Raw genomic sequence first — 24,956 nt, forward strand, 5'->3', positions numbered from 1 at the left:
TAATATCTTTTAAATATTAAAAGATTAAATAAATTATTTTCTAATAAATTCTTTTAATATTAAAATATTAATTTTTGATAAGAACCTTGTTTACTCTCAAGATTAATGTAGTAAATAAAGAAGACTAAAAACTTCAGAGACTGAAAGCTGCTGAGAATGTGTAAGAGAAACCTGGTTGTCAAACGCAATCCTGATCTTTTATCAGGCATCTGTATCAATGTGGATGATCTAACCGTGGTTAACTTCATGAAGAAGGAAGATATTTGATTTTCATCTGTTTAAAGAAACAATCTGTTTCTTCTAAAAGTATATACTCTAAAACACAAACCACTTGGCTGGGAAATAAAAGATGGTTATGCTTTATCATTTATATAAGCCTGGCCTTTCTCCAAAATGATTTTGATATAGCTTACAACAAAAAACGTGTTAGGCTTAATAAAAGAAGAATGGAAATGGAAACTAAGGATCAACAGAAAAGAGTATCACAAATACGGTAATACTAGCATATGGTAATATTATTTCTGTATTTGAGTGTAAAACGTGGCTGTGAGCTTCCTGGAGGCCAAGGCAAAAATAGAGACAAGAGCAACGTGCATAATATCATTAGCAGACAGAAAGATCATGTGACTTTTTAATTTTTTTCCCGGAAACTGAATCTAAAAAGAATCGCTCTATATAATGACTCATATATATGGTTTTAAGTGAAAAAATGATGAACACTGTCCTCCATGAGAGTTTTGGCACAAATTGAAGGAGGTAAGAACTGATATTGAAGCACAACTCAGTGAAGTTAATCCTGTCAGGCTAGGTTCACACAAGAAAACTTCTGACAAAATCCTAGAATTCCGGCAAATGCAGGCATGGAATGAGAGATTCCTATTCCATCTGCCTCGTTGTGCCTGGGGCCAGGCCTGAGTGTTGAAGACAGCTTGTTCCAATGTAAGATCAAATGAGATTGTTCATAACAGGAGTCTGCAGGAATATGGCACCTCTGATTTGAAATGATGGATGATTTTCATCAGCCGTGTATCTGCTTCCTTGGCAGCACCCCAAGTGCAGACCCCAGGCTGTTTCAGTGTGTCATCTGGCAGGCCCAAACAGAGGATGTCTCAATTGTGCATGTGTAACACAGCTTTAATTCATAATTTCATTTCTGGATGGAATTTTGAGCAGATGGGCATTGCTGTCCTTTTTAATGGTAAAAAATCAATGAAAGACACCGTGGTTTTGAAATTAATGAGCACTTGAAAAATACCAGCTTTGTTTGGCTTTGCGTTTTCTTTTTTCCTCTCCTCCTAAGTTGTTTGCAGCAAAATATTCAATTGAAAACTCAACATGTCCACTGCCTCCCAAAAAAAAAAAAAAATTCTGTGGAAAGTCTCCACTAACAGGAAGAGAGAAGTTCTTCACAGTTTGGTTTTATTTTTCAATGATAGTCATTGCCTCATTTTTAAAGCATTTATAATAAATTAAGCAAGTAACACTTGTGTACCAGTTTCTAATCAGTTTCTAATGTGCCTGGAACTTGCTGGGCTACAAAGAAAAGGATCAACTATTTTTTTTCCTGCACCCAAAGATATTGCAATCTTATCGGAGAAGGGAAACTGAGGCATGTGTTACAGTTAGAGGACTAGGAAGCACTAATCTGTGTCAGACTCCAAAGTGCAAATTCAAAGGAAAGACCATTGTTGGAGGGAGTGATCCGGAAGAATTCCTAGCCCTTACCTGTCTCAGTCATGCTTCTTGCCAAAGAAAAAGAGAAATCTCCAAGTATCTTAATGCTTTCAGCGCTTCTCCAATCTGACAAATATTTATTCAGATTCGAACTGACTGCCCAAGCTTCACTGCAGCTCCTCGTTTCCTGTTAGATCTTTTTAAAAATCTTTGCTTAAAACATTGAAGGCTGAACGATGAGCAAGAAAATCTTGCCTGTGAATAAGACACTGGGAACTGCACAGAATCAACATCAGCTCACAAGCTCATCATCTCACGCACGGATTCCTGAGCACATTCTCGCATTCTTGCTCTTAATCCTCCCTTGGCGACCTTCTACTCAGACATCATCTTTTATGCAGAGAAGCAGGCACGTTTCTCATCATTAATTCTGTTCTCAGCCAGGTGTGTAGCCACAGAGCATACAGACCACAGGATGATGTGAGTACCCCAGGATGTAAATTTGTGCGGAGTAATTACAGCTCAGGCTTCTTACACAGCTTTGGCCACATCAGGACATGAAGCTGTCTTGCAAATTGCGGGTGTGTCTAAGCTCTTAAGCACATGTGAACTTTAACGCACGTGCATTCCCTACTCACATACACAATACAAGCATGCCACACACTCACAATCCAATTGGCTAACTATGGTTATTAGCAGGAAAGAACAATTAATGGTCCTTGTGGTTACAGTTTTGTTTGAATTTTCGCCTCATCAAAAATGTAACAACCAACTAAAGCAGGCTTTCCTCCTTTTTTCCTAGTGAAAGCATATTGACTTTCCTGACTTCTTATGACCACATTTGAGGAAAGGAGTAAGCACTGGAATCACCAACACAGCATGCTTACGGAGGGTGGTCACCAGCTTCATCAGCCTCCCAATTCCACGGAGCCCCTTGAAAATCCAGGAGCGCAGACTGGCAACAGTAGAGATTTAATAGGTAAGACCTTGGGTTCAATGGACAGATCTCCTACAGTTCCTGATATCAGCCCCTATCAGAAATTATATTTTACTTTGTGTATTTCACATATTTCAAATAGAAGGGGTCAAGACTAATAGTGACCAGTCTTCATCCATTTGATAAACCTTTACTAAACACAACTGCAGCTTTGTTCTAGGCAGCATGAATGGAATGATTTACAAACTGTTGCTGCTCTTTGGGCAGTCACTGTTTTATAGGGGAACTCGAGAAGCAGTCAGGAAGGAAGGTCTCGGAGGAGATGGCCCTGAAACTGAATCAGACTTTAAAAGATAAGTTGGTCAACAGGGTTGGAGGGAGGGAGGGAAAAGAAGGTTTTGAAAGATAGATCTTTCAGAAAAAGCAAATAACTTGGGCACAGACATGGGCACAAAAAGGAAAAGAAAAGCCAGGGCATTCAGAGAATTGCAGAACATTTTGCATGACTGAGTATAGGAAGCAAGAGAGGTCTTTTGAGAAATACGACTGGAGAGGTGATGAGGGGCCAGATCTTGTGTTACACAAAGAACCTCTTATGCCACACAAAGGAATTTGGATTTTTTTTTTCCTTTTAGGCATAAGGAAGCCATTGAAGGGTTTTAAACAGGAACAATGTAATCAGATTTACTCTTTGGAAATAAGATCTCCTGGTTAGTTAATGAACTCGTATTTCTTTTTTTCTATGTTAACCATTGTTTTATTGTTTGGTCTTTAGACTCTATTATTGATTGAAATGCCAAAGTGATGGGAGTCAAGCGGCTTTGCCACTTAACCTTCCAAAGTTTGTTTCATTTGCTTTTAAAATAGTTATTATATTACGTGCTTTGCCTTATTAGTTTTGTGTACAATTAAAGCGAGATAAAGGCAGAGAAACTGGCTTGTAGTGCTATTGCTATGGACACCATTAGTTGATGTCAGAACAATTACAGATGAATCAATATTTACTATTGGACCAATTACAGACAAAACCAGAAAAGATTAGATCTAGCACAAACTTTATAAACTATTGAGCCTTTCATTTTATTTTGCATTTAAAAATCCTTACATCCGAGATTCTGAATTCTTTTATCAGGGGTGTGGCCTGTGCATTGAGAGTTTTTAAAGCTCTCCAGGTGATTTTAATATGCAATTAGATTTGAGAACCATGATTTTAGACTTAAGGGGCTTTAGAAGTAAATGTCTTTAAATTCTGTGATAATACATCATTCATAGGCTATTCAGGCTGTACTAAAACATAGAGAAAAAACAAAGACAATTATTGAGTTCATTTTATGAAGCAAGAACAATCTTAATAACAAAAGATAAAAACCTTTAAAAAGACGCGAAGCTATGATCTTTTTATGAATATAGGTGTAAAATCACAAAATATTATAAAAATATTTTAACCACATATTAAAAGAGTAGGCTAAATAGAATTTACTTTAGGAATTGAAGAATGGTTTAATATTGGGAAATTTATTATTGTAATGCCTGGGCAACAGAGCGAGACTCCGTCTCCAAAAAAAAAAAGAAAAAAGAAAATGCGAAGTTTAGTCTCAAGCTAAGACTAAATATTTGCAAATCATGTGTCTGAAAAAGGACTTGCATCAGAATAGAGAACTCTTATCACTCCATTAAAAAAAGACAATTCAAAATGTTGAGCAAAAGATATGAACAGATAATTCACCAAAGAATATATTATGATAGCAGATAAGCATATGAAAAGTTGCTCAACATTATCAGTGCTTAAAGAAATGCGAACTAAAACCATACTGAGATACTATGACACACATACTAGAATGTCTCTAATCAGAAAAACTGAAAATATTGAATTCTGGTAAAGATTTAGAGGAACTGGAATCCTTATACATTGCTGGTGAGAATGTAGAAAAGATACAGTCGCTTTGGAAAACAGTTTGTCAGTGACTCAGTAAGTTAAATACATCCACTTCTAAATATCTACACAGAGAAATGAAAATGTATGCTTAGACAAAAAACATTCAGCATTATTATTTTCCATAACCAAAACCTGGCTATTCTAGTTCAGGATGACATACTGAACATATGTGTTTACCTCGTGTCCCTCCTGAGACCCCAATGAAATGACAACGTAGAAATACAAAGAGGAATAAACTCATGCAACAAAAAAAGCATGGAAGGGTATCAGTAGACAAGAAATTTCAACACATTTCCAGAGGACAAAAAGCTGATGTACAAGCTTGGCGCAGTGGCTCACGCCTATAATCCCAGCACTTTGGGAGGCCAAGGTGGGTTGATCGCCTGAGGTTAGGAGTTCGAGACCAGCCTGACCAATGTGGTAAAACCCCATCTCTACTAAAAATACAAAAATTAGCCGGGCGTGATGGGGTGTGCCTGTAGTCCCAGCTACTCGGGGGGCCGAGGCAGGAGAATTGCTTGAACCCAGGAGGCGGAGGTTGCAGTGAGTCGAGATCGCGCCACTGTACTCCGGCCTGGATGACAGAGCAATACTCTGTCTCAAAAATAAAATAAAATAAAATAAAATAAAATAAAATAAAATAAGAAAGCTAATGTACAGGCAAGCGAAGGATGCTGAAGCCCAGAATATAATCGTTGTTGGAGGCTCTGTAAGAAGGAGCCAGCCTCCTCTATTGGAGACCTGAAAGAGAAGGAGCGAAGCAAAGGGAATGATGGAATATGTACACCACTATGTCACAGCCCTGCCAGTCACCCCTCCCTTTCCCACCCTTCCAGAGCATCTGGAAGGTCAACATTGTCACTGTTACAAAAGATAAAGAATGAAGGAATTTCACACATTTACCTAGGAAGATGTAAATCTTCTGTTGTAGATAATTTATTACAGAGTACTCCGTCCACATCCAGGTGCCCCACACAAGTGCTTCGCAAAGCATCTGTGGTGAAGGACCAGCTTTTGTGTTAAAATTTCAAATCCATTGCAGAAGGTTACTTTTTAAAATATAGTAGAAATAAATTACTAGAAAAATAAAATTTAAAAAGCAAAGGCACACAAAATACAAGCCCAAATGTTTTATTACCAGACTCAAGAGACAAAAGATTATATTTCTTTTTTTTTTTTTTGAGATGGAGTCTCGTTCTGTCACCCAGGCTGGAGCGCAGTGGCACCATCTCAGCTCACTGCAGGCTCTGCCTCCCAGATTCATGCCATTCTCCTGCCTCAGCCTCCTGAATAGCTGGGACTACAGGCGCCCTCCACCAAGCCCGGCTAATTTTTTGTATTTTTAGTAGAGACAGGGTTTCACCGTGTTAGCCAGGATGGTCTCAATCTCCTGACCTCGTGATCTGCCCGCCTCAGCCTCCCAAAGTGCTGGGATTACAGGCATGAGCCACCGTGCCCGGCCCCTAGACAAAATATTATATTTCAATCAATGTTATCAGAACAAATTTAAAATAGAAAAAAAGACAAGAATTACAAAAATGGTACATACTTATTGAAAGTGTGTGTATAGGCAATTAAAGTAGCCAATCATTTTTACATTAAAATATTTGTGTCATTCTACCATTGAAACTAAACAAAAGGTTATGAAAGGAATTGTAATTTCCCATATAGAAAACCTATAAGTTTTGAATAAACAGCATGTATAAAAATATCAAAAGCTTTTATTGTAAAAAATGAGCCTGATTCTTGTTTTTTAATTAATTTATGTTGGATTGTTGACAATGCTATTCACAGAAGATAATGCATGTCTAAACTGTTTCTACGTATTTTTTCCCTTGTTTTTTAAGATACAATTTACGTATCATAAAATTATCATTTTAAAGTGTACAAACAATTGGCAGGGCACAGTGGCTCTCGCCTGTAATCCTAGCACTTTGGGAGGCCGAGGCGGGTGGATCACTTGAAGTCAGAAGTTTGAGACCAGGCTGACCAACATGGTGAAACTCCGTCTCTACTAAAAATACAGAATTAGCTGGGCAGGTGGTGCATGCCTGTAATCTCAGCTATTTGGGAGGCTGAGGCAGGAGAATCGCTTGAACCCGGGAGGTGGAGGTTGCAGTGACCTGAGATTGTGCCACTGCATTTCAGCCTGAGCAACACGAGAGAACCTCCATCTCAAAAAAAAAAAAAATTAAAGTGCACAATTCAGTGGTTCTCAGTGTATCATATTCACAATTTGTGCAACCAAAAGCACTATCTAATTCCAGGATGTTTTCATCACCCCAAATGGAGATCTCATACTCTTGGGCAGCCATTGCCCAGTCTCCCGGCCATCAGCCCTGAACACTTCCTAATCTATTCTGTTTCTTTATAGTTTTGCCCATTCTGAACATTTCATATAAACGGAATAAAAGGCTACAACATGTAGCCTTTTTTGTCTGACGTCTTTTACTCAGCATAGTGTTTTCAAGGTTCATCCACATTGTTGTATGTGTCAGTAATTCATTCCTTTTTGTGGCTGAATAGTATTTCTTTGTGTGGATAGACCACAATTTATTTATTCATTCATCTGTTAGTGGACAATTGAGTTGTTTCCACTTTTTGGCTATTATGAATAATGCTACTGTGAACATTAAAATGTAAGCTTTTGTGTGAACATACATTTTCATTTTCTTGGCTATATCCCTAGGAATTGAATTGCTGGGTTATATATGAGAACTGTATGTTTAACTTTTTTAGGAACCAGCTGTTTTCCACAGTGGTTGTACCATTTTATATACCCACCAGCAATTTATTAGAGTTCCAATTTTTCCACATCCTTGCCAATATTATTTCCCTTTTAAAAATTATTATTATAGTCATTCTAGTGTGTCTGAAATGATATCTCATTGTAGTTTTGATTTGCATTTCTCTGATGATCAATGATGTTGAGCACCTTTTCAAATACCTGGTTGCCATTTGTATGCCTTCTTTGGAGAAATGTCTGTTCGAATCATTTGCTCACTTTTTTAATGGAGTTTTTTACTGTTGAGTTGTCAGAGAGCTTCATTCATATATTCTAGATACTAGATGCTTATGAGATACATGGTTTGCAGGTATTTTATTTCATTCTGTGGGTTTTCTTTTCTTTAGGACAGTCTCTTGATAGTGTCCTTTAATGCACTGTGATGCTGTGATGCTGATGAAATCCAATTTGTCTATTTTTGTCTTTGTTTACTTAGGCATTTGGGATCATATCTAGGAAACTAATGCCTAAATGATGAAGATTTACACACATTTTCATATAAGAGTCTTATACTTTGGGCTCTTTTTAAATTTAGTGGTTTTTTAAAATGTGTGTTTTGTTGTTTCTTTCAAGATACAGGGTCTTGCTCTGTTGCCCAGGCTGGAGTATAGCAGTGCAATTACAGCTCACGGCAACCTCAAACTCCTCGGCTCAAATGATTTTCCCACCTCAGCCTCCAGAGTAGCAGGCACTACACTATCCATTTTTAAAATATTTTAACATGGTGTGAGCTAGGGGTCCAAATTTATTCTTTTACCTTTGGATATTCAGTTGCTCCACCCATTTGTAGAAAAGATTATTTTCTCTCATTGAATGATCTTCACACCCCTGTCAAAAGTCAATTAGCTGGCCAGGTGCGGTGGCTCATGCCTGTAATCCTAGCACTTTGGGAAGCTGAGGCGGGCAGATCCTGAGGTCCAGAGTTTGAGACTAGCCTGGCCAACATGGTGAAACTGTGTATCTACTAAAAATACAAAAAAAAATTAGCTGGGCCTGATGGTGGGCACCTGTAATCCCAGCTACTTGGCAGTCTGAAGCGGAAGACTTGCTTGAACCTAGGAGGTGGAGATTGCAGTAAGCCGAGATCACACGATTACACTCCAGCCTCAGTGACAAGAGTGAAACTCCGTCTGAAAACAAAAAACAAACAAAAGAGTCAATTGGCTATACATGCATGGGTTTATTTCTGAACTCACAATTCTATTTCATTGTTCTACATGTTTATCCTTATTTCAGTACTACTCTGTCTTCATTACTGTAGTTTTGTAGCAAGTTTAAAAATAGGGAAGTGTAAATTCACCAACTTTATTCTTTATTCAGTTTATTTTGCCTACTCTATATCTCTGGCATTTCTGTATGAATTTTAGTATCTGCCTGTCAATTTCTGCAAAAAAAAAAAGGAATCAACAGAGATTTTGATAGTGATTTGCATTGCAACTGTAAATCAGTTTGGTGAGTATTCCCATCTTAACAATATTAAGTATTTTGATCCATGAACATGGATGTCTTTACATTTATTTAGGTCTTCTGTAATTTAACAATATTTTGTAGTTTTCAATTAACAAGTCTTATACTTCTTTTGTTAAAATTATACCTAAGTATTTTATTCCTTTTGATTTTATTATAAATAGAATTATTTTCTCAGTTTCATTTTTGGGCAGTTCATTGCTAATGCGTAATACAATTGATTTGTAAATTTTGGTATTATATCCTACATATTTGCTGAACTCACTCATTAGCTGTAATATGGATTCTTTAGGTTTTCTATAGGTAAGTTATGTCATCTGCACATACAGATAGTTTACATTTTCCTTTCCACTGTGGATGCCTTTTTTTTTCTTGTCTACTTGCCCTGGGTATAACTTCCAGTACAGTGTTTTGTTTCAGTCTTTCACCATTAAGTATGATGTCAACTGTGGATTTTTCATAGATGCCCTTTATCAGGATGAGAACATTCCTTTCAATCCCCAGTTTGTTGAGTATTTTTCATCATGAAAGGGTGTAATTTTGTCAAATGCTTTTCCTGAGTCAATTGAGGTGATCATATGGGGTTCTTTTTCTTCATTATATTAATGTGGTATATAACATTGATTGATTTTGTTTGTTGAAGCACCATGGCATTCCTGAGATAAATCCTATCTGGTCATAATGAATAATGCTTTTATATACTGCTTGGTTTGGTTTGCTGTTATTTTGTTAAAAGATTTTCACATCTATACTCATAAAAGATATTAGTCTACAGTTTTCTTTTGTTATATTTACCTAGTTTGGATATCAAGATAATACTGGCCTCATAGAATAAGTTAAAAAGTATTTCCTCCTGTCCTACTTTTATTTCTTCTTTAAACATTTGGTAGACTTCACTAGTGAACCCATCTGGGCCTCAGATTTTCTTTGGGAAGTTTTCCAATTACTTATTTAATCCTTTTAGTTATTCTAGATCTACTCTGATCTTCTGTTTCTTATTGAGTAAGCCTTTGTAGTTTGTGTATTTCTAGGAATTTGTCCGTTTCTTCTAGGGTATCTAATGTTTTTAGCATACAATTACTCACAGTATTGCCTTATAATCCCTTTTATTTCTGTAGGGTTCATAGGAATGTCCCCTCATTCATTTCCGAATTTAGTAATTTGAGTCTTCTCTCTTTTTTCTTGGTGAATCTAGATAAACTTTGTCAATTTTGTTCCTCTTTTCAAACAACCAACTTTTTATTCTGTTAAACTTCTCTGTTGTATTTCTCTTTTGTCTTTCGCTAATTTCTGCTCTTATCTTTATTATTTCCTTTCTTCTGCTTGCTTTGGCTTAGTTTACTTTGCCCCATGTCTTAAGGTTGAATGTTAGGTTATTGATTTAAGATCTTTCTTTCTTTCTTTTTTTTTTTTCTTTTTTTTTTGAGATGGAGTTTCACTCTTATTGCCCACGCTGGAATGCAGTGGCAGGATCTCGGCTCACCGCAACCTTTGCCTCCCTGGTTCAAGCAATTCTCCTGCCTCAGCCTCCCGAGTAGCTGGGATTACAGGCATGTGCCACCACACCTGGCTAATTTTGTATTTTTAGTAGAGACAGGGTTTCTCCACGTTAGTCAGGCTGGTCTCGAACTCCCGACCTCAGGAGATCCACCCGCCTTGGCCTCCCAAAGTGCTGGGATTACAGGTGTGAGCCACTGTGCCCAGCCTTTTTTTTTTTTTTTAGTTTTTTAAAATTATTATTATTTTGAGACAGAGTCTTGCTCTTTCGCCCAGGCTGGAGTGCAGTGGCGCCATCTCGGCTCACTGCAAGCTCCACCTCCCGGGTTCACGCCATTCTCTTGCCTCAGCCTCCCAAGAGCTGGAACTACAGGTGCCCACCACTACGCCAAGCTAATTTTTTGTATTTTTGGTAGAGACGGGGTTTCACCGTGTTAGCCAGGATGGTCTCAATCTCCTGACCTCGTGATCCACCCGCTTCGGCCTCCCAAAGTGCTAGGATTACAGGCACGAGCCACTGCGCCTGGCCAACCCTCTTTTTTTTAAATGTACACATTTACAACTGTGCATTTCCCTTCTAGGCACTGCTTTAACTGCATGCACATTTTGGTACATTGTGTTTTTATTTTCATTCATCCCAAATTATGCTTTAATTTCTTTTGATGTATTGTTTTACTTACTGTTTATTTAAAGTGTGTTGACATATTTGTGAATTTCCCAAATTTCTTTCAGTTACTGATGTTTAGTTTCATTCCATTTTGGTCAGAGAACATATACTTTATGTTTTCAACCCTTTTAGTTTTATTGAGACTTGTTTTATGCTGTAAAATATCATCTATACTGGAGACTGCTCCAAAGTACTTAAAAAGAGTTTGTATTGTTCTGTTGTAGGGTAGTGATATAGATATCCATGGGGTTTAGTTTACTTACAGTGTTTTTCAAGTTTTCTGTTTCCTTGCTGATATACTGTCTAGTTGTTCTATCAACTATGGAAAGTAAGGTAATGATATATCCAACTATTATTGTTACCTAAGAGAAAAGCTCTAAAATACATGAAATAGTTCTCTCTTCAAGTTTGTCAGTTTCTGTTCATGCATTTTGGAGCTGTTCTTTTAGGTACATGTATGCATATAATTATTATATATTCTTATTGAATAACATTTTTTCATTATAAAATGCCCTTCTTTGTCTTTAGTAATAATTTTTGTTTTAAAATCTATCTCACCACATATCAGTTATAGTAACTCCATCTCTGTTTTTATTATTGTTTACATAGTGTATCTTTTCCTGTTCTTGATCATTCAATCTATTTATGTCCTTGAATCTGAAGTGTGTCTTTTGTAGACAGTGTATAGTTGGGCCATTAAAAACATCTTTCTAGCTTGTAGACAGCTGCTTTATTAAAAAAAAAAAAAGAAAGAAGGAAAAAAATTTTAAATAAAAATATCTTTTTTCCAATCTCTGCTTTTTTATTAGAATATGTAGCTTATTTATATTTAATGTAATTAATGATAAATTAGGATTAACATCTGCCATTTTACTGTTTGTTTTCTACCTTTTTATTCTTTTGTTTCTACATTTCTCCATTACTGGCTTCCTTTGTGTTAAATAGATATTTTCTTATACAGTATTTTAATTCTCTCATTTCTTTTACTATATTTTTGAGTTTTCTTTCTTAGTGGTTACCTTGGCAATTACCACTAATACCTTACTTAATAACAATGTTATCTAAATCAAATGATATTATTTAACTCCAATAGTCTACAAAACTTTGTTCCTATATAGCTTTTTTTTACCCTTCCTGTATGCCATTATCATCACAAATTACATCTTTATACATTATATGCTTGTCAACAAGGATTTATAATTATTGCTTTATGCAGCTGTCTCTTAAAACAGATAGGAGAAGGAAATGAATTACAAGCAAAAAATACACTTATACTATTTATTTTTAATATTCATCTGTATGTAGTTTATCTTTATTATTTCGTTTATTTCTTCATGTAGACCTGAGTTACTGCTTACTCTCCTTTAAGTCCAGCCTAATGGGCTCCTTTTAGTATTTCGTGTAGGATAGGTATCCTAGTGACAAGTCCTCTCAGCTTTTGTTTGTTTAGAAATGGCTTAATTTCTCTTTCATTTTTGAAAGATGGTTTTGTGGATATAGAATTCTTGGTTGGCAGCTATTTTCTTTCAGTGCTTTGAATATGCCATACCACTGCCTTCTGGCCTCCATGCTTTCTAATGAGAAACTGTTAATCTTATTGAGGATCCATTATACAGGTCAAGTCCCTTCTCTCTCTCTGCTTTTAAGATTCTTTGTCTGTGGCTTTCAACAGTTTGAATATAATGTGACTCAGTGTGGATCTCTCTCAGTTTGTCATACTTGGAGTTTATTGATCTTTTTAAATGTATATATTAGTGTTTTTCATCAAGTTTAGGGAGCTTTGGCCATTATTTCATCAAGTAATCTTTCTGAAACTTTCTCTCACCTCTCCTTTTGGGATTCCATTATGCATATGTTGATATATTTAATAGTGTCCCACAAGTCTCTAATCATTTTTCTGCCTGTTTTTTCTTTCTGTTCCTCAGACTGGATAATCTCAACTGACCTATCTTCAAGTTTGTTGATTATTTTTATCCTGCCTGATCAAATGTGCTATTGGGTGCCTCTGGTTTATTTTTCAGTTCACTTATTCTAGCTTTCAACTCCAGAATTACTATTTTTTAAATAATTTTGACCCATTTTTATTCTCTATTTGGTTAAACATAGTTATCTTTTGACATGGTTTGGCTCTGTGCCCCAACCCAAATCACATCTCGAATTGTAATCCCCAAGTTTCAAGGAAGGGACCTTGTGGGAGGTGATTGGATCATGGGGCGGTTCCCCCCATGCTGTTCTCATGATAGTGAGAAAGTCCTCATGAGATCTGATGGTTTTATAAGTGTGTGATGGTTCCTCCATTGCTCTGTCTCTCCCTCACTCTCCTGCTGCCCTGTGAAGAAGGTGCCTGCTTCCCCTTCTGCCATGATTCTAAGTTTCCTGAGGCCTCCCCAGCCATGTGGAATTGTGAGTCAATAAAACCTCCTTTGTTTGTAAATTACCCAGTCTCAAGTTGTATCTTTATAGCACTGTGAAAATGGACAAATACATCATTCTTTGCTTCAGTTCTTCAGACATAGTTTCCTTTAACTCTTTGAACATATGTTTAAATAGCTAATTTTACTCTCTGTCTAGTAAGCACAACATTTGGGCCTCTTAGGGCCAACTTCTATCAATTGCTTTCCGTGTGTGTGTATGGGACATAATTTTATGTTTCTTTGCATGTCTCACAATTTTATGTTGAAATTTTGACATTTAAAAAAATATAATATTACAAGTCTGAAAATCATATTCTTCCCTGCTGAATTGTGTTGTTGCTCCTTGCTTTTAAATGTTGTTTTTATTTATTTCATGGCTTTTCTGAACTAATTCTATAAAGTATGTATTGTTTATTATATGTGGTCATGGGAGTTATCAATTAGCTTAGTGATTGGACATCTAATGATTGAACAGAGATTTCTTTAAATGCTGGAACCAATAAACCTCTAAATCTTTGCCATGGGTTACTATATACATGTTGGATCATACCTTTAACACTCCACCAGGCAGTTCACAATGCTGTTTTAGCCTTTACTTTCTGCTTGTGCAGAACCTTAAGGTCACCAAGAAGTGAGAGCTCAGGCCTCCTCAGCTCTTTCTTCAGAATGCCCACAGGCCTACATATGCCCCTGACCTTCCAAATTCTCAGGAATATGTCAGAGCATTTCAAAGCTCCTATGGACATCTTATTCCACAGCTTTTCCCTTTAATCTTCTTGGTTAGTCTATTGTTTGCACTATCATCCATCTCATGCAGCCTGATAGTTAAAAGACGTGCCTAAAATTATTTTCAATAAATGCCTCTTAACCCCTGGGAGAGACTTTTTACACTTGGCAAGTTCAAACCACATCAAGTAAAAATGTACCTTTTCAGTGGAGCCTTCTAAGGATGGATCAAACAATGTCAGTTCTTTGGGACTGAGGCTTTGAATGAGCTCCAGCTCTGTTCTGATCCTTTAATACTGGAATGCAGTTGTTATTTTTCTAGGCTATTGCTGAGCTGAAGAGTGGGAGATGGGCCTAAGGTAAGTTTCAAATGTTGTAAAGATTACAGTTCTTACCAAGATTCAGATATTTTTCTTGAATAAATGCTCCCTGGATGGCTGAAAGTCTTTGGTTAATGCCAAGAGAGTTGAAAAAATGGATTCTGCTTTTCTTTGCCAGTTTTTTCATTACTGTTACGAAGGAACAAAATTTTGGATGTTCTTAATCTGCCATTTTTACTACTGTCACCTATTTTAATGTTGTGTTTTTATAATCTACACTGTACAAAACTAGCCTCACAGAATTATGTTGATAAGGTGGAAGAAGAGATTTTTAAAACATTTTATTAAGCTCAGAATATTCATTTTTAAACTTTCATTCAAAGTAATGTAAATGATACTATATTTCTAAATTCATCTTCTACTGTTCATTAGTAGTCAGATTCAATAATTTATCCATAAATTATAGTTAAGTTTAAATTATCTTTTGATGAAAGAAATGGATTCTGGATCCATGAATTTCCTATATGTTGTCTTCTCCTGATAGAAAACAAAAATTCACAATCTTTTATCAAATTTAAAGATGTTTGGTGATACATTTTGACAGTGTAATATCAATATCATCACCAACTCTGCTGTCAATAAACTATGGAGCATGTCACAATAACTTACAGAAAGTCTGTTCTTTCAAGCATCCAAGTTTCATTTTGTGCTTTAATTTCATGTGGCATTAGAAAACATGTTGCCTTCCTTCCTTGCATAGGAGTGTGAGCCTCAGAAATTTGAGACTGAGACCTGTCTCAAATTTCTGAGGCTGAGGAAGGAGAATCGCTTGAACCCAGGAGGCGGAGGTTTCAGTGAGCCAAGATCGCATCACTGCACTCCAGCCTGGGTGACAGAGTGATAGATACCCTTTCTCAAAAAAAAAATTTGATATGGGCCACATTACTCTGAAGTCCATACATTAGTAGGCAGGCATGAAAGTGCCTTATGTATGTAAACAGGTTACTGTTATTTTCTGCCGAAGTTTAAGTTGTCTGTCTTCAGCTTGCAGGGTTTTTTTTTTTTTTTTTTTTTTTTTTTTTTTTGAGACGGAGTCTCGCTCTGTCGCCCAGGCCGGACTGCGGACTGCAGTGGCGCAATCTCGGCTCACTGCAAGCTCCGCTTCCCGGGTTCACGCCATTCTCCTGCCTCAGCCTCCCGAGTAGCTGGGACTACAGGCGCCTGCCACCGCGCCCGGCTAATTTTTTTGTATTTTTAGTAGAGACGGGGTTTCACCTTGTTAGCCAGGATGGTCTCGATCTCCTGACCTCGTGATCCACCCGCCTCGGCCTCCCAAAGTGCTGGGATTACAGGCGTGAGCCACCGCGCCCGGCCAGCTTGCAGGGTTTTAAAGAAGAACAACTTAGTTTTCAGTGACTTCAAATTAGGAAAAATGAAAAAGAGACGGAAAAAAATTGAAAACATTATTTTGAAGACTTGTAGCCAAGAAAAATTAGAATTTGGTCCAAACTGTAGAAAATAATAAAAATTGGAAAAAAACATTAGGCAAGACTAGAATCTAACAACAGATATATAATCATTTTGAAATAATTTTTTTCTCTCTCCAGTTCCCCATTTTACTAAAGATAAATCATGGTAGGGCTGGTTTGGTTATTATACTTGGCCTAAGTATTTGTATGCAGTGCAGCAAAAATAATTATTATTTTTACATAGGCTTTTAAATTGGCTTTGATGGAACTTTGTTCCATAAGAGGAATCTCAGATAAGACTTCTTAAAGCCCAGCCCAGCCATGGATTGTGCTATCAAATACCCATGAGTTGGGTGAAATTTCCTGCTGTCAGGGTTTCAAGATAAACCTGGGACTTCTGTGCCTGTCAGTAAGTGACATTCTTTACTTACCATGGGTCAGAAACCCTATACAGTGTGTACACAAAATATGAGGCTAATTTTTCCAAGGTCTTATTGGCTCTATAAGTCAAGTTTGATTCCTTAAAGGAAAGCACACCATTCCAGTCAAAGCCTTGGTAAAAGAACCAATTTCTCCAATTGCATCCTGTTAAAATGAAAACAGATTCTTATTGCACTTATGCAAATAACTGTGTTGCTGTAAGTTAAGAATACTCGCAAGTACTTTACAATTCTGGAGAAATCAGGTAGAGAGAAACAAATGTGTTCCAAATTTTGTTCACAGGAGTGTACTAAATTGTTAAAGCTGTCAATAGCTCAAAAGAAAAGTTTTTAAGACCTTGAAAAACAAAAGAAAGGATCAGCAAACAAATTCAGAAAAAAGTCAGGCAGGGTGCAGTGGCACACTTCTGTAATCCCAGCACTTTGGGAGGCCAAGGCAGGTGGATCACCTGAGGTCAGGAGTTCGAGACTAGCCTGACCAACATGGCAAAACCCAATCTCTACTGAAAATACAAAAATTAGCTGGGTGTGGTGGCGCATGCCTATAATCCCAGCTAGTTGGGAGGCTGAGTCAGGAGAATCGCTTGAACCCAGGAGGTGGAGGTTGCAGTGAGCCAAGATTATGCCACTGCACTCCACCTACATGATGGGAGCGAGACTCCATCTCAAAAAAAAAAAAGAAAGGAAAAGAAAAGAAAAAAAAGAAAGTAAACAGAGCAAGTGACCTTGAAGAGAAGAAAAAGAAAAAAACCAGAAAAAGAAAAATATTCAGATAACAGATGAGAATTTTTTTTTTTTGAGACGTAGTCTCAGTCTGTTGTCGAGGCTGGAGTGCAATGGCGTGATTTCCGCTCGCTGCAATCTCCACCTCCCAGGTTCAAGTGATTCTCAGGCCTTAGCCTCCCGAGTAGCTGAGATTACAGGTGCCTGCCACCATGCCCAGCTAATTTTTGTATTTTTAGTAGAGATGGGGTTTTGCCATGTTGGCCAAGCTGGTCTCAAACTCCTGACCTCAAGTGATCCGCCCACCTTGACCTCCCAAAGTGCTGGGATTACAGGCATGAGCCACCTCCCAGCCCCCCATAAAGTAATTCTTTAAAAGAAAATTGAATTGAGTCATTAGAGATGACAAAGGAGAATTTAAATAATTTATCTGATTCAAGTAATTTTTCATTTAAAACATAAAAACCAGGACAGAATGTCTTGAAAAGAGATCAGAGAACAGAAAAATTGTTTGGAAATGAAAAATATGATTGCTTCCCCCCAAAAAATCTTTCAAAGAAATTATTTTAAAATTGATAAAAAATAACTTATACAAGGTGAAAAAGTATATTTCCTGAGTGAGATAGGAAAATATTTTTTAAAAACTACAAGAAAGAAGTAATCCAGGATATCTAATATTAGACCAGCAAGAGTTTTTAAAAGAGAGAGCAGTGAAATGAAGGGAAATCATCTGTGCGTCTGTGTGTGATTTTTGTAAAATCATTTTTTAAAAACTTTTCTCAGAACTAAAAATGTTATGTCTTGAGGTTGAATTCCAAGCAGGATAAAAATAAAGAAGCCTGAAATGCATCTTTGTGAAACTTCAGAACAGTAACTAACAATAAATGGAAGATCCTAAAAATCTTACAAAGGCAAAAAACAGCCCAGCAGCTAAGGAGCAGGAGCTAGACTGCAGCAGAGTTTTCTTATCAGCAGCACAAAATGTTAGAAAACATTGAAGCAATACCCTCCAATTCAGAGGGAAAACAATTTTGAAAGTTCAATAATAGGTGTAGACAAACAATAAATGATGAAAGAGAAAATAATACATTTGATGCGATACTGGAAATTCACCTCTCTCATACCTTTCTTCCCCTCCCCAGGAGTTTACTGGAGGTTATACTCCAGTCAAAGAAGATGGAAACCAAGAAAGGACACATTTTGGAGATTAGCACTGGCTCCAGGAACCCAGTGAACAGAAGACTCAGGCTGAAGGCTTGTGCATTCAGCCCAGAGAAAATCCACTTAAATTCAGAACAATTAAGGACTCTGGGGAAGAAGGACTTCACATGGTAGTGTGATTGGAAGGCAGATAAATTTTAGGACACAATGGAAGTTCCTAAGATTTTTTATCCTTTTCCAATAGGAAGGATAAAAAAATCATCTAAAACTAGAGGAAAAATCATCTAAAACAAGGTATAAAGAAATGGCTCACGTGTGACCCTTATTTTACTGTGACATGGAGCATTTGATGAAGGATGTGGGAAGGGAGCCTGCTTAACTATGAAGTGAGTAGCATCGCCCCAGGAGCACCATGACAGATGCACAGGACATGGAGGGAAGGAAATGGCATCCTGGCACAGCCCTGGCTCTACATTGAGCAATGTAGACAAAATCATAAAGGCTGCTCTAGTTTTCTACTTTTAGAATCAACCTACAGACATGTAAGACTTAATTGTAGTTGTAGAATAAAAGATAAAAGATTATTGGCTTTCATAACAATAAAGTCCTAACAATGATTCACAGTTATTCCATGAATAAGGGTAGGGGAAAAGAGGGAGGAATGTAAGGCATTTTATATGGAGCAAGGGAGGCAAAAGACGTTGACAGAGGCTTATGGAACAACACACACACGCACACAAATAGAAGGAATATATTGCTTAAAATGACAAAAATAGCCAACATAGGCTGGGTGCGGTGGCTCATGCCTGTAATCCCAGCACTTTGGGAGGCTGAGGCGGACGGATCACTTGAAGCCAGGAGTTCAAGACCAGCCTGGCCAACATGGTGAAACCCCGTCTCTACTAAAAATACAAAAATTGACTGGGCGCAGTGGTGTGCATCTGTAGTTCCAACTACTTGGGAGGCTGAGGCAGGAGAATCACTTGAATCCGGGAGGCGGAGGTTGCAGTGAGCCGAGATCACGCCACTGCATCCTAGCCTGGGTGACAGAGTGAGACCGTCTGAAAAAGAAAAAAGCCAACATAGGAATTTTTAAAATAATATATAATTACCAAAAATTGGGGAAAATAGAGACAGGGAAGGCAGTTCTATAAGCGAGATAAATCTTTATCTTTTGTATCAGAAAGTCAATAAATATTGTCTGAATTTGATTGGTTATTTCCATTTTTATGAAATGTCTACAATAGGCAAATCTATAGAACCAGTAAAGAAATTAGGAATTCCTGTGGCTGGGACTGAAGAGTGAAATCACTGCAAGTGGTCAAGAGGGATCTTCTGAAGTGATAGGTGTGTTCTAAAATTGGGCTGTGGGGATGCTTGCACAACTCTGTAACTTTGCTAAAATTCATTTCATTACACATTTAGTGAGTTTTATGATATGTACATTACCCATCAATAAAGCTGTGTTAAAAAAAAGGCTGATTTTTTAGGCTGGGCGCAGTGGCTCACGCCTGCAATCCCAGCACTTTGGGAGGCCAAGGCGGGGGGATCACAAGGTCAGGAGATCAAGACCATCCTGGCTAACATGGTGAAACCCCGTCTCTACTAAAAATACAAAAAATTAGCCGGGTGTGGTGGCGGGCACCTGTAATCCCAGCTACTTGGGAGGCTGAGGCAGGAGAATGGCGTGAACCCGGGAGGCAGAGCTTGCAGTGAGCGGAGATCATGCCATTGCACTCCAGCCTGGGTGACAGAATGAGACTCTGTCTCAAAAAAAAAAAAAGGCTAATTTTTAAAAAGGTCAAAGAAGAGATGTGAAAATATATTATTTAGAGTTCTGTAGGCAACCAACAGGAATAAAAGTAGAAATGTTTTCTGGGATGATCTAGGAGTTGCTAGGGTGAGGAAGTGTGAAATGGAGGCAGCTGTTTATCAGTTATGTTTTTATCAGTTTATCAGTTCTGTTTTTCTATACTATTTCCATTTTGTTTATCAATGCATGTATTACCTCAGTTCATTATTAGAGATTTTTTAAAACTTTAGATTTCTTAATGCAGAAAAAAATGTTTCTTGTTTTTAATCTTTTAGAATTTAAATATGAGTAATGATGGCATGTGAGTAAATGAATAGAATTTATTTTTTCTCCTAAAGACCAAGGCCAAGGGGCAAACTCTCTTACAAACCACCGCTCATAACTTGATGTGGACAAGAGCTCAACTGGGCATCGCCAAAAGTCCATGCCACTCCCAAAATAGAATGGAGGCAAGGAGACTAAGCAACTGATCTTTCTGGGAATGACATTTGGTGCAGCTGTGTTAAGCGGTTGCCATGGACTAATACAGAAAACATAAATAATCTCAGAGAAGCAAGTGCCCGAGAAAAACGAGATGACACAGGAAGTTGCTAATGTTATCAGCTGTCTTCATCTGTTTATATAAGAACGCTGCCAAAGTAACCATCTATGTGCCCAGGTTTTAAGCCGCATGACACAACCTCTTTACCCTGAGGTGAGAGTGACATGGTGGCCAATGAGAGGCCATCACTGTGGAAAACACATATTAAGACTTTTTGAGATATGAAGTAATGGGATAGATCATGAGGACTTGAGGCTACAAGCTGACGACCTTGCAGTTGGTTCAAAGAGCTTGGGGACTTTTCAGTGTAATTTTGCTAGGTGACGAATCGGAAGCTTTCACACCTGCATTCCCTTTCTTTTTTTCTTATTTATTTATTTATTTATTTGAGACGGAGTGGTGCCCTGTTGCCCAGGCTGGAGTGCAGTGGCGCAATCTCAGCTCACAGCAACCTCCACCTCCCAAGTTCAAGCAATTCTCCTGCCTCAGCCTCCCAGTAGCTGGGATTACAGGCTCCCGCCACCACGCCTGGCTAATTTATTACTATTATTATTATTATTATTATTATTATTATTATTTTTGGTAGGGACAGGGTTTCCACATGTTGGCCAGACTAGTCTTGAACTCCTGACCTCAGGTGATCCACCCACCTCGGCCTCCCAAAGTGCTGAGATTACAGGCGTAAGCCACTGCGCCCAGCATTCCCTTTCACATAAAATGCTACGTGAATGGTGGTAATAAAACAGTCAGAGCGATTCCATGCAACCCAACAGATAACGTGGTTTGTGCATTTTTTCTATCCATGAGGGAATGAGAAAGGCTATTCCTGCCTTTCCGTCAATTCCATTCAACCAAATATTTCCCATTTTAACGTGAAATCAGACCTCTCATGGGTTGGTCTGTTGTTGGAGTGACCACACTCACTTACTCCACTTGCTCCGAGGTTCCTCTCATTACCTGAACATGCACACGGGGCCCAGCAGGCACTGAGGAAAAGGTTGAGTGGCACTTGTCATCTGCATGCCTCCCAGGTGGGTCCTGCTCAGGGAGGAGTGTCCAATAACCTTGGTGACAGCCACAGCCTGGCAAGATTCATGCCGCAGACAACACGGTGCCCGAATCCCTTCCTTATAATTCCCCAGGCATGGGGTTAGTAGACAAAGCCAGTGAAGCTGATAAGAGAAGCAACATGTAAAAGGGGAGGGCACCACGTTGTCCCCTAAGACAAGAATGGAAATGGTTTAATGAGTTTGTTACTTACTATCTACATGATGTTAAAACCAATCCAGGCAGGGCAAAATAGGTCAGAGCCTTTTCACAAAGCCAGTACTTTGTGTAGTGAGATTTTAAAGACATTACCCTGTCAGTGAGAGAGAGAGAGCTACAGTTAGACAAACATGATAAGACAAAGAGCTAAATATAAAATAAAAAATGCAGATGTGAAATCATATTTGCAAGTCTTTCTTTTGCTGTCAGTAGTTGGTAATTGGTTGTAGCCACCCAGATGCGAGTCAGATACATACAACCGTAAGTACCACTTAAAATTTCAGTGGCTAAAGAATCTTGCCAGAAAGAATTTTTTAGTCAAAATTCCTAAACATTTCTCATTGTGCCAAAACGTACATATTTGCTTATAATATATCAAAATAAAAATGAGAATTTCCTTCATTTCTGGTGTTGTGAAAAGTTCCTGATAGATATCTCATGGAGACCAGGTTCCAAGAGCATTTCCTGTGGCCTTACTGCAGACAGCAGATCATTTCAGCCTCCACTCAGGCGAATGCTTAGTGGCTGGGAGTGTGCACGCTCTGGTTCAAGTGCAGTGAGGGTGGGGTACTAGACTCACCACTTCCTAGCTGTGGGGTGTTACTCCAGGCCTTTAAACTTTTATCAGAAACTCAAGCCTTCAAGCTTTCATCTCTTCCATCTCTGCACCTCACAGGACTACCATGAGCTTAAATGAGAGCACACATAAAATATGGTAAGAAACGGGTATGATTATTTTTCCTATTTTATAATTGAAGGCACTGAGGCCAAGAGAAGTGAAGTGGCTCCAAGTCACAAAGCCTTGGGTCACAAAGCTGGGATCTGAAGGCAGACTGTCAATAGTAAGGTTGTTATACACAGTAAATGAGTTAATTCATGGAAAGCTCTTAGGAAAGCCTTGGTTATGAGAAAGCTCTCAATAGAGATTAGCTGTTTTATTATGACTTCATTCGCTTTCACGCTATTTAAGCCTTTTCCTTTATTTCACTTCAAAAATGAGGGCTTGGTGGGGCTGGGCGCAGCGGCTCATGCCCGTAATCCCAGCACTTTGGGAGGCCGAGGCGGGTGGATCATGAGGTCAGGAGATTGAGACCCTCCTGGCTAACATGGTGAAACCCAGTCTCTACTAAAAATACAAAAAATTAGCCGGGCATGGTGGCAGGCACCTGTAGTCCCAGCTACTCGGGAGGCTGAGGCAAGAGAATGGCGTGAACCTGGGAGGTGGATCTTGCAGTGAGTTGAACTTGCGCCACTGCACTCCAGCCTGGGCGACAGAGCGAGACTCCGTCTCAAAAAAAAAAAATGAAGTCTTGGTATATGTGTTCACATAGTCTCTAAGGCTGTACATTTTGAACTTGTTCCATTTCTCTGACCTTGTAACCCAGGCTTTTGGGAAAGCTGTATTCTCCAGCGGATGTGAAATAGAGATGGCAGTAACAGTAACGTAGATATAAAAATAACTCTTCCAAGTGGATCAAGTCACTGGTGAAGGAATGCATGTAAATCCTTGCAAGCCTCTTGGGCAGTCTGGTTGCTCACTAAATGTTTTTATTTAATGAAACTTGATGGTGATTTTTAAATCTCATCCTTTTAGGGTTATGTACCCCATAATAAAGGAGAAATGATGTATGGACTTTTTTTTTTTTAACAAAAGAATGAAAGCCCGATTTATAAAGTAAACATTGATGGCAAGGTTTACATAAATGGAGCAATCTCTCCTACATAAAAGGAGAGATTGCGGTGGAATTAGGTATGAGGGATGGAGAATCTCTTTCCTCTGTTCACCATGGCAGATACAACTTGTGCTGTTCCCGGCTGTTTTTTGAGGTGCCATAAGGATCAAAACAGCAATCTGTCAGTAAGTTGGTAAGTTCCATGGGGCCAACCTAAGTTTGATCCCAGCTTCCACGGTCACTAAGCCCAGGACTGTGGGCAAGTTTCCTCATCTGTGATATGGGGATAATGACAGCACCAAGCTTTTAAGTCTGTGTGGGGATTAAGTGAGATAAATGCAAGAGAGTGTGAGAAAAGGGCCTAGGATGAAGCATGCATTCTACCTATTGACTATTAGTAGTATCCATCCTCCTTATTAAAGCACACTAACAACAAAGCTATTACATGAAGACACATAAAAGCAAACTTGAAAGAGATGGCAGGAACTTCAATACTCCAGTGGCAGGAGGCAGCCTCTGTGCTCACACTGACTGCCAGGTGCCCGTGAAATAGCTACTTCCAAGAGCTGGTAATAGAGTTGAAGCGAAACTCCAGCTCCAGTACCTCCATTTCCTTAGAACTAAAATGTGGAACGTGGCTGGGTACGACAACTCCGGCCTGTAATCCCAGCACTTTATGTGGCCAAGGTGGGAAAATTGTTTGAGGCCAGGAGTCTGGGATCAGCCTGGGCAACATAGCAAGACCCCCATCTCTATTAAAAAAAAATCTTAAAAAAATTAGCCATGCATCGTGGTACACGTCTGTAGTCATAGCTACTCAGGAGGCTGAGGTGGGAGGAGGCTGAGGTGGGAGGATTGCTTGAGCTCAAGAGGTGGAGGCTGTAGTGAGCTAAGATTGCGCCACTGCATTCCAACCTGGGTGACAGAGTGAGACCCTCTTTCAAAATAGATAAATAAATAAAATGTGGAGCATACAGCTATAAACTTTCTAAAACTGAGCGTGTTACATTAAAATGGGAATTATACTTTTGAAACTACTTTTAAAAATGCTTGTATTCTTAGAAAAAGACCATTTTAATGCAGTTCAGATGAAATATCAGAAACTTTTCATGAAGAAACCATCAGAATTAAAGAATGGTATTTGATTATGATATGATTGCCTAATAATTATTGTTTGCTTGGGTTTTTTTTTTTTTTTCCAGAATCCTATTTCTTTTCTTTTCTTTTTCTTTTTTTTTTTCTTTGAGACAGAGTTTTGCTCTTGTTGCCCAGGCTGGAGCGCAATGGCATGATCTCGGCTCACCACAACCTCCACCTCCTGGGTTCGAGCGATTCTTCTGCCTCAGCCTCCCGAGTAGCTGGGATTACAGGCATGCGCCACCATGCCCCGCTAAATGTTGTATTTTTAGTAGAGATGGGGTTTCTCCATGTTGGTCAGGCTGGTCTC

At 38.4% G+C, this 24,956-nt stretch overlaps 1 long non-coding RNA gene across 1 annotated transcript, besides 1 other annotated feature; it reads left to right on the plus strand.

The window, feature by feature from the left end:
• Positions 1-1,474: 1,474 nt before the first annotated feature.
• LINC00327 (long intergenic non-protein coding RNA 327) lies at positions 1,475-19,427 on the plus strand. The gene is made up of 3 exons (NR_038995.1): positions 1,475-2,154; positions 2,477-2,653; positions 18,198-19,427. It is a non-coding gene; the product is annotated as a long intergenic non-protein coding RNA 327 (long non-coding RNA).
• Positions 24,456-24,956: an enhancer, noted in NCBI's record as "H3K4me1 hESC enhancer chr13:24066632-24067132 (GRCh37/hg19 assembly coordinates)". NCBI's record gives its function as "activates a minimal SCP1, AML or CMV promoter by ChIP-STARR-seq in primed H9 embryonic stem cells {active_cell/tissue: H9 hESC(primed)}" and the evidence as "EXISTENCE:reporter gene assay evidence [ECO:0000049][PMID:30033119]".

Source organism: Homo sapiens, chromosome 13, assembly GCF_000001405.40.
Source record: "Homo sapiens chromosome 13, GRCh38.p14 Primary Assembly".
Classification (NCBI taxonomy): Eukaryota; Metazoa; Chordata; class Mammalia; order Primates; family Hominidae; genus Homo; species Homo sapiens.